Raw genomic sequence first — 889 nt, 5'->3', positions numbered from 1 at the left:
TCTCCATTTAGGAGATTTTTATTCTCTCTTTAAGAGTGTGAGCAGCTAAGCTAATTGCTTTTGCAATTCAAGAAGAGGAATGTTTAGGTCAGATCTCCAAAATAACTCTGAAATTCAAAAAATAGAAAGCATAAAACATAAAAACCTACCTCACTAAAAGGACAATTTGGGGTGCAGGCAGGAACACTTTGTACTTTTGCTGAGTTCAGAAAAAAATCATTTAGAGGGCAACTATGAAGTGCAGTAGTGAACCAGCAGCTTAGTTAACTTGCTGGCTGGAGGGCACGCCTGCTCTTGCTGCAGCTTTTATCCTTTGCATCCCTCAACCCCAGGCCCAGAACGCCAGGCCAAAGCATTTGCGGAAGTGCTCCACTGCCATCTACAGGAGCTGTCGCACTTACACGCGATATCCTAGGTCAGGTCACACCACTCTGTACAACTTGTTTTGTGTGCTATCTTTATTAGGAGACCATAGTTAATTTTTCATTAAGAGTAATCACTCTGTGAAAAGCCTAGGTCATTGTTTAATTAGTATCAGCAATAAATGGACTAAATAACCTTAAGGGGCATATTTCTTTGTTGTAGGCAAGCTGTTTTTAAATCCAGTGCATTCGCTTTTAAATAAATAAATCAGTAATTCATCTACTGTATTGTTCACTGTCAGTGCAGGATCATACAAGCAAAAGCACTCATCTAGGAGCAGAATATTTTCCTTGCCCTAAATTTCTAAAATATTCTCCAAATAAAGGGTTCATTTTTTTTTTCAAAAACAAATAAAGTCAAGTGAATAGGATTCCTCTTTTTAAAAGAAAAGCACACTGGTATGTTTAGTATTTGAAACATGATTAGAGGTTCCTATCTCTACAGCACAGCTTACCTCAAGGAAGTT

At 37.9% G+C, this 889-nt stretch overlaps 2 annotated features.

The window, feature by feature from the left end:
• Positions 209-503: an enhancer, noted in NCBI's record as "tiled region #15392; HepG2 Activating DNase unmatched - State 12:CtcfO, and K562 Activating DNase unmatched - State 13:Ctcf". NCBI's record gives its function as "activates a minimal TATA promoter and a strong SV40 promoter by Sharpr-MPRA in HepG2 and K562 cells {active_cell/tissue: HepG2 | K562}" and the evidence as "EXISTENCE:reporter gene assay evidence [ECO:0000049][PMID:27701403]".
• Positions 310-479: an enhancer, noted in NCBI's record as "experimental_30031 CRE fragment used in MPRA reporter constructs". NCBI's record gives its function as "activates a minimal promoter by MPRAs in K562 erythroleukemia cells, with activity observed for both the introgressed and non-introgressed 12:58934438 variant alleles {active_cell/tissue: K562}" and the evidence as "EXISTENCE:reporter gene assay evidence [ECO:0000049][PMID:34662402]".

This window comes from Homo sapiens, chromosome 12, assembly GCF_000001405.40.
Source record: "Homo sapiens chromosome 12, GRCh38.p14 Primary Assembly".
Taxonomy (NCBI): Eukaryota; Metazoa; Chordata; class Mammalia; order Primates; family Hominidae; genus Homo; species Homo sapiens.
The sequence above is the reverse complement of the archived record's forward strand: the minus strand, read 5'-3'. Positions and strand labels throughout refer to the sequence as shown.